This window comes from Homo sapiens, chromosome 7, assembly GCF_000001405.40.
Source record: "Homo sapiens chromosome 7, GRCh38.p14 Primary Assembly".
Lineage (NCBI taxonomy): Eukaryota > Metazoa > Chordata > Mammalia > Primates > Hominidae > Homo > Homo sapiens.
Window position 1 is genome coordinate 125875692 of NC_000007.14, and position 9922 is coordinate 125885613.

Here is a 9922-nt window from a genome sequence, read left to right on the forward strand (position 1 = left end):
TTCTAATCATGTTCTGACCCCTTGAGTTGCAACTACACTGCTTGTTTTTACAGTTCTCACAGTTTTGATGTTGATGTTGTTTGTTTTCATGGCTACCACAGAGCTAGAGAAAGGCAGATGATAACATTGCAATTTAAAGCACAACAATGTTGGTCAGTCTTACTAAAATTCAGTCATTTTTCTTGAATAATCATTAATCTGACTTTTCAAACTTCGGTTAATTTACAGAGTTCTGAAAAAAATAATTTTGACATTTTTCTTGTTGCTTTATGAGGTAAATTTTCATGCTTGTTTCCTTTGCCATTCTAAAAGTACTTTCAGAATTTAAATTTCCAGAATCTAATTTAATAAATTAAATGTAACTCAATTGTATTTAAATTTATATTAATATTATACCCAATTTCATTTTACTTTCTCAGTCATATTAATCACTTTTTAAGTACTCAATAACTACACAGGGCTGAAAGGTACCTTATTGAATAGTGAGGATATATATTATTTTCATCATCATGGAGCATTTTATTAGGTGAGGCTGTTCAGTAATATTACTTTGTTGTTCATTAAGTAATTGTTGGCATAATAAACTATTAATCCCTTCTAGCCAGTTGCCTATTGGCCTGACCTGCCAGGTTTTCTAATATCTGGGTTTCTCACCTTATCAGGGCAACCACACAATAAACTTCAAGTTGTTTCTGACAAGCAGAAAACTTACTATGCAAGAGATAAAATGGAAAATCCCAAGATTGTTTTTGGAGTAGTTTGGTTACCCTTGATCATTCACATTATTGTGGTCCTGAAATAAAATTAGAAAAGTGCACTGAGACCTAATTTTAGAGGCCTTGAATGCAAAAATTAGAAGTTCAGAAATATAATTCATGTAATTCTCATTTGCCAATAGGTAGTCATTTGTGGAGACCTATTGTGTTGCAATCAAGGAGAATTTCAAACCACACTGAGGCCTTGTAGAGTAATTCCATGATTCATAGAGGTCATTTCTGTGCCTAAAGACAGTAAGTGGTATTATATTTGCTACTTATTAATTATACTCAAGCTCCACACTACAAATTTGGGAGAAATTACAGGGTTCTCTTAAAATTTCAAATGCTTCTTATATTCATTATCTAATTTTATTTTTGTAGCAACTTTGATATTGATGGTATTATCTATATTTTTAGGTGAGGTACTGGCAGGGAGGTTAATTAGCTGACCCATAAACAGAATTAGATATAGGGAGAAGATTTTTTGTAACATAAATTTGCTAACTTCAAGTCTTTTAACCATAAAATAGACCATATTGTATAATTTGCTCTATGCATCTCAGAATAGTGTCATATTTCCTTGATTCTAAGTTGTCATCTACCATTATTTTAATAACAACATGTAGAAGCCTGTTATTTTTTTAAAAAAAAAAACCTATAATCCTAATTCACATCACTTGTAAGACACATTCAGATTTTAAAAACAGTCAATACAGAAAGAATGTGAACATATAGTGACCCAAAATAGGAAATTTATAAAGTCAAAGAGGAGAACTTATAAACAAACATTTTTTTTTTCCATTTACTGCACTTAAAATAGTGTATTCATATTGTGCCACTGTTGGATTCCCTGGGAAGCAGACTTAAGAATTGTTTTAGGAATTTTAGAAAGATTTATTGGGTGGTAACACCTCAGAAAGAAAACAGAAGAAAGCAGGATTGGGCAGGAGGAGTCATCAGACATTCCTGCAGACCTGAAGAAGTAAATCTCTGCCAGCCCACTGGGGGAGTTCCAAAGCAAGGATTGCCATTTATATGAGTCTTGTTGTAAGCGGAAATGTCTAGGTCTTTGTCACTCCATCTTGCATCATCTGGGGACCATCCTGGAAAGAGTGTGGCCTTTGCTCAAGAGATGAGACTGACCGTGTAACAGCAAACAGCTACATAATGCCTGCTAGCTACACTCTTAGAAACTGGACTATGAAGAAGCTTCTTGAAGGAAGATCTGAGTGTTCTATATCCATGTCTGCCATACATGTTTATCATGAAATTAATACTTTTAAGCACACATAATCATCATATTATGGAATTTTTTATATTTTATTTAGTTAAAAAAATCAATGTTGACATTCTGCAATTACGTATTAAAGTAACCGACTAAAGTTAAAAAGAGTACCATATATTTTCACAATACACTTAAAACCATTTATCTTATTTTTAAAGTTTTTGAATATTTTATCATACTCATAATTGATAATACTATAAACACTGACATTCCTTCCACATATAAGTTAATCATTCCTAATAGTCTCCTTGTTAAAACTGGATCTAATGCACAATTATATCTTATTTCAAAAACCCTTAAATTAAACCCTTTTGTGTCTGTCTAGTGTAACTACAACTGTTACATTTGGTATTAAACAAATCTTGAATGTAATCATGTAAATATTTACATTATTCAAGTTGTTCAGTACAAAATATACTCACTCATAATATCTCACTGAGCTATATTATAGGACACTTCTGATGTATTTATTCATAAGTAGTTAAAATTGGTCTACTCAGTAGCTGTAATAGACTCATACTTTTATCACCAATCCTGTGATTTATAAAAGTTAATTTTTGTAAAAAGAAATATTTTCTACTGTTGTTACCAAAGTTTTCTACCATAATTATCAATTTCTAATATATAAAGTGCACCTTTAAGTCTCTTAATGGGTAAGTGAGCAGGAAAACTGACAATATGTTAATGTGGCCTTTCTGCCATACTTACTGCCTTAAAACATGGTCTGAACTCTTTCACTGCATTATCTTTTTGGCCTGGTTGACTGCCTTTAACAAAATGTGAACAATATATTAAGGACAGACAGGTAAGTCTCTGAACTGTAAAACTAATAAAACTTCTGTAATTTCTTCAGCGAAAATACAATCAAGTTTTTATTTAATTGTGGCAAGCATCTCATTTTAGTTTGAGGGTAAAGTAGAACTGGAAGTATTTATCTCTGAAACTGAAAGCACTGGTGACTGAAACTTTAACCACTAAACAAAACAATGCTTAAAACTACTGAATCCTTATTTATTCACTGTAACTGTCTTAATATGAAAGCTCTGGGAAGCCAGGGGCCTTTGCATTTGAATGGTTTGTTTTCATGTATTGGAGAATTAAATCATTAAGAATGTGAGGCCAGGCATATCGTGTTTCAAATCCCAGGTTCCAGGGTTATGTGATTTAGGAAAGTTACTCAATCTGTTTTATTTTTTTCTAAGGTTTCATATATTTTAATAAATAATGTAGAAAAGATTTAATATAGAAAATTTTTGTGAAGATTAATTTTGGCATTTTAAAAACAAAGAACAGGCAATGTGTTAACAGAGCAGGAGCATTGCCGTCTTGGACAACCACTGACATTTTAAAGCTCCCTTTGATCAAAAACTTTCTAAATCCAAAGGGCATCAGCCTAATAGCTAAGGTCAGCATGACCATAAACCACAAATGACGCCTTTGACCAGAAACATTCCAACTCTAAGATAAACCCTTCCCTGACTAGAGACATGCCAGCCTGAGACAACCTCCCCTCCAGCCAGAGTCATGTCAGCCCCAAGATAACCCCCGCTCTGACCGGACATTCCAGCCCCGCAATAAACTTCTCCTCCATATAGAAACATTCCAAGCCTGTGATAAGCTCTCTCGCCCTAAAACCCTTACATATTCTTAATCTGTAAGAGAGAGTGCTCTTGACAGAAATTGGACAGAAGCCCCTCTCAGGTTTATTCTCCAAAATAAACCCTGTCTTTGACTGTTGAGCTGCTTTTCATGTATCTTTCCTCTTTCTTTAACTCTTACAAGTGTCTAGCACAAAATTAATTTTGGATAGTCTTCCCCTGGCCACCCCTGCATCTCGCACTGTGATTTGGAGTTTACACTTAAATTCATTATTTTGTAGCAACTACATCTGTAAAGCATTCTAGGGAAAGAAAAGACATGGAACACATTTTTGAATATAAAATAAATATAGGCAAAAATTGGCACACTTTGTCTAACACAGAAAAGAATCATGTAGTAAAAGAAGCCTTACAAACCTGGCACCTATGAAAGGAGCTGCATGTTGTGGGCTTATTATGAAAATTTTGTCAAAATATACAAACCTTTTGACTTTCAGGGGGAAATATCCACATAATTTTTAAATTCTATAAATATTTACTAAATACTATTATTCCGGGTAAATGAAATAAATATTCCAATGAGACATTAAGAGGTTAAACAATAGTGTTGCTAAAATATCAACTTCAGATAATAATTTTATGGGAACCAAAAAGTCACTTGTAATTTCCTTTAGTAACTCATTTTATCTAAAAGAGTATTATTATTACATGGCCATGTTTTTGCATTCTGCACATCAATTTTATGAAATAGGCAAATGGCCAGACTTCTTGTGCCAGTAATTAATGTGGACATTTTTGAGTATCCCTTCTAGTTTCTACCACCCATGTATTTAGTAGGGTAAAATAACTGATTGCAATGGCAACCAGACTCACAAAGAATGTTCCGTTGTGTTTACTATATGACTTCACTCAAACTGAAAACTAAGTGAAACACTTTAAAAATATTTTCGTTGTAGAGAACACTTGGACACAGAGTGGGAACATCACACACAGGGGCCTGTCGTGGGGTGGGGGGAGCGGGGAGGGATAGCATTAGGAGATATACCTAATGTAAATGATGAGTTAACGGGTGCAGCACGCCAACATGGCACATGTATACATATGTAACAAACCTGCATGTTGTGCACATGTACCATAGAACTTAAAGTATAATAATAAAAAATAAAAATAAATAAAAATAAAAATATTTTCATTGTAATAGACTGAATAGTTTAAACAATTATCCAAGAAGTACATTCATTTAAAAGCCTTCATTCTTCAACATAAAGTAACTAAAATATTTTCTCATTTAGAATAGATGTTATATGATGGGGACCTTACTTTATCTGTGTTAGAAAACATCATAGCATAGTGTTTGAGAGCACAGAGTTTTACATTTGATTTGATAGGCCAGAATTTAATTCCTTACTGCATGAATTTGGGCATATTGCTTAAATTCTCTGAGTTTCAGTTTTTTTTATCTTTGAAATCAAACTTAAAAGGGTTTTTGTGAGAATCAAATTACCTAATTCATTTAAAATGCATAGCACATTATGTGGAACATGCCAAGGATTTGATAAGCAATATCTATTGATGTTTATATATTATGTATTATTTATATTATAAATTATTATTTTATGTTGTCAATTTAGTTTTAAGCCCATTTAAAGAAACACAATACTGCATTAGCATTAGAACTGATTTCGATAAATGAGTAAAGTGGTGATAGGCATTCTACTAAATTTTAATATTCTACAAGTAATTATTTTTTTGGTTTGTTTTTTGCAGTAGCAAATTTCATTAGATACAGTGGTGGGTGCCTTCTTAGGACAAAATTTTGAAAAACTATTCATCTTTTCACATATAACATATAGAAAAACAGGGCTTCTCATTTATTCATTTATTTGGTTTGCCATTTGTTTATAGTATTTCCTACATTCCATAATTTTTATCACATGAGAAAAATGGATTAAACAAAAATGAAAAATTCCTACATAATTTTCAGAGTCCCATGACTTCTTGTACTATTTTGCTAAAATTCACGGTCCTCTTTATTTTTTATTTTTTTTGAGATGGAGCCTGGCTCTGTCACCCAGGCTGGAGTGCAGTGGCAAGATCTTAGCTCGCTGCAACCTCTGCCTCCCAGATTCAGGCGATTCTCATGCCTCAGCCTCCCGAGTAGCTGGGATTACAGGCGCCTGCCACCACGCCCAGCTAAATTTTGTATTTTTAGTAGAGACGGAGTTTCACCATGTTGGCCAGGCTGGTCTCGTCCTCCCGACCTCAGGTGATCTGCCCACCTCGGCCTCCCAAAGTGCTGGGATTACAGGCATGAGCCACTGCGCCCGGCCTCAGGGCCCTCTTTCTTTAAAATAAATTTTGTGTATATTTGAGACTTACTACTTGATGTTATGGGATACATATAGATAGTAAAATGGTTACTACAGTAAAGAAGATTAATGTATCTATCATCTCACATATTTACCTATTTGTGTGACAAGAATAGTTAAAATCTACTTGTTTACAAAGATCCCTAAAACAGTGCAATTTTATTAACTTTAGTCTTCATGCTGTATATTAATCTCTAAACTTGTTCATCCTACATGTCTACTATTTTGTCTCATTTCACTTTTATCTCTCTATTTCCTTCCCCTGAAATAAGAGAAAAGGAAGAGGAGCATTTGAGTAAATGAAGAAAAAAAAAATTACCTCTAGATCTTAATTCAATGAATTGTTAGAGAGCATTTCATGCTATAAATGATAAATAACTTGTGTGATTATAAATAGCTTCAGCCATAATTCCAGTTGCTTTTGTTATGTAGATGAATGCAGTGCAGCTTTATTTTGATATTAATAAGTTTCAAAAGCTATGTTTTAGAATAAATATAAAACAGTAAGTATTAGGAAAGCTATTAACAATAAAATGTGTGCTGTACTTCTATAATGGAAATGTGAAATGCAAGAACAAGAAATGTACTACTAACTAGTTTCTACACAAGATAACGTTACTTGTCAAATATTATAAAATAGTAATTTCCTTTGGAAAGAGATCTCTAAGGTAAATTTTTTATTAGTTTGACAGCGTTTTGTTTTCAAAATCGTAATTATTATCCTGGAACTATTAACAATTACCCATTGTGTAAGAATCAAAAAAGAAAGAGATCTCCTTTTAAAAAATATAGTAAAATAATGAGATTGCTCAATTTTTGTTTTATTCATGTAAGATGATGTGTTGTCTATCCCAGATAAGTCTACGGAAGACAAAAAAGAAGAGTCTCATGAGAATTCTGATGGTTATTTTGAGAATTAAAAAAGTACCAGATTTTAGTGTTTTTAAAAAATGAGTTATATTTGCTTATGGGAAGGACATTAGAGAATATTTTTCAAAGGCACAACATTTTGGACTCTACACAAAGATATCAGAAAAGCCTGACATAGATTTTTAATCAGGAAATAAACTTCAAGAGCTATTTAATAGTATTTGTGCCTAAGAAAAGTCAAAAAAAAGAGAGATGAGTAGGTTTATCTTAAAGTATTTCTGTCGACTATCATGTTAATTTTGAACAAATGCAAGTTTTTAAAAAACAATTTCCTAAATTTTGAATGATGCTTTCCTTTCACAAATCATAATATAGAACATACAGTGGACAAGAGCCAAAGAAAAAGACCATTGTAAAGGAATTTTCAAAATAGTACTACAAAATACAGTCAGATGGATGCAATCTACAACTGAGGCAAAATAAAAACAGTCTAGACAAGTGTTAAACACTATGAGTTTTTGAGAAATTTTGACCCCCTTCAGTATCACAACTGCAATTAGGTAATGAAGAGTTTAACTGGACTAACTAAGCCTTAGATGGTATTTTGACACCATGGTGCCTGCTAGTAGCATAGAAGTATATATACTGTAATCTCATAAAGCCAACCTTGGAAATTGTCTTTCCCAAAAGTTTATATAAAACCAAATGTCCTTTTATACTTTAATATAATTTATACTTAAGTTTTCCCTTTTCCAGCAACTCTGAAAAGCAGATGATACTAGAAAAGAGCCTGCATTTATGTTTGTTGTCAGAGGTGTCATATGTAGATCCAGTTACCCTCTGTAGATCATGTACCCAGTTAGCATACCTAAGAAAGTGCCCCGAATGGTAATGCCTAGGTTTTCTTCTAGGGTTTTTATGGTTTTAGGTCTAAGGTTTAAGTCTTTAATCCATCTTGAATTGATTTTTGTATAAGGTGTAAGGAAGGGATCCAGTTTCAGCTTTCTACATATGGCTAGCCAGTTTTCCCAGCACCATTTATTAAATAGGGAATCCTTTCCCCATTGCTTGTTTTTCTCAGGTTTGTCAAAGATCAGATCGTTGTAGATATGCGGCGTTATTTCTGAGGGCTCTGTTCTGTTCCATTGATCTATATCTCTGTTTTGGTACCAGTAGACATGGGCAAGGACTTCATGTCTAAAACACCAAAAGCAATGGCAACAAAAGACAAAATTGACAAATGGGATCTAATTAAACTAAAGAGCTTCTGCACAGCAAAAGAAACTACCATCAGAGTGAACAGGCAACCTACAAAATGGGAGAAAATTTTCACAACCTACTCATCTGACTAAGGGCTAATATCCAGAATCTACAATGAACTCAAACAAATTTACAAGAAAAAAACAAACAACCCCATCAAAAAGTGGGCAAAGGACATGAACAGACACTTCTCAAAAGAAGACATTAATGCAGCCAAAAAACACATGAAAAAATGCTCATCATCACTGGCCATCAGAGAAATGCAAATCAAAACCACAATGAGATACCATCTCACACCAGTTAGAATGGCAATCATTAAAAAGTCAGGAAACAACAGGTGCTGGAGAGGATGTGGAGAAATAGGAACACTTTTACACTGTTGGTGGGACTGTAAACTAGTTCAACCATTGTGGAAATCAGTGTGGCCATTCCTCAGGGATCTAGAACTAGAAATACCACTTGACCCAGCCATCCCATTACTGGGTATATACCCAAAGGACTATAAATCATGCTGCTATAAAGACACATGCACACGTATGTTTCTTGCGGCATTATTCACAATAGCAAAGACTTGGAACCAACCCAAATGTCCAACAATGATAGACTGGATTAAGAAAGTGTGGCACATATATACCATGGAATACTATGCAGCCATAAAAAATGATGAGTTCATGTCCTTTGTAGGGACATGGATGAAATTGGAAATCATCATTCTCAGTAAACTATCGCAAGAACAAAAAACCAAACACCGCATATTCTCACTCATAGTTGGGAATTGAACAATGAGATCACATGGACACAGGAAGGGGAATATCAGACTCTGGGGACTGTTGTGGGGTGGGGGGAGGGGGGAGGGATAGCACTGGGAGATATACCTAATGCTAGATGACGAGTTAGTGGGTGCAGTGCACCAGCATGGCACATGTATACATATGTGACTAACCTGCACGTTGTGCACATGTACCCTATAACTTAAAGTATAAAAAAAAAAAAAAAAGAAAGTGCCCCGTGAGGCTGGGGGAAATATATTCTACTAAGCATCATAACTTCAAAGGTGAATTAAATACCAAGTTGAAAAATTCTATGTAGCAAATATTCAGAAGGTAAAATTGTACAATTTAACTTACCAAAGTCATGCCCAAAAATGAAAATTCTTAGGAAAAACAGAATTCAGCTTAGGTAAGCCATAGTCATAACTAATGAAATATTAGATGTGATAAAATAATCATATAAAGCCCATTATACCAAGAAAAATAAGAAGGAAATATACACCAAAATAATAAGTCCTGTGTATATATTTTCCAGTTAGTCTAGGCCAGTGGGACAGTTTACCCTAATTCTGTTAATGGACATATCTTTTTAAATCTGCCCAACAAAGGTGCTCTTTAAACACTCTCATAACCAAGAGTCAATTAAATTCATCAATAACCACAGTGAAAAATGGGGCTTGGGTATTGCTATTGACTGAATCTTTATGTCTTTCCCAAATTCATATATTTCAATCTATCCAATGTGATGATATTTGGAAGTGAGGCCTGTGGGAGGTGATTAGGGAATAAGGGAAGAGCCTTCATGAATGACATTAGTGCCCTTATAAAAGAAACACAGAGCCCAGCCTGGCCAATATGGTGAAACACCATTTCTACTAAAAATAGAAAAATTAGCTGGGCGTGGTGGCAGGCACCTGTAGTCCCAGATACTCGGGAGGCTGAGGCAGGAGAATCGCTTGAACCTGGGAGGCAGAGGTTGTAGTGAGCTGAGATCACGCCACTGCACTCCAGC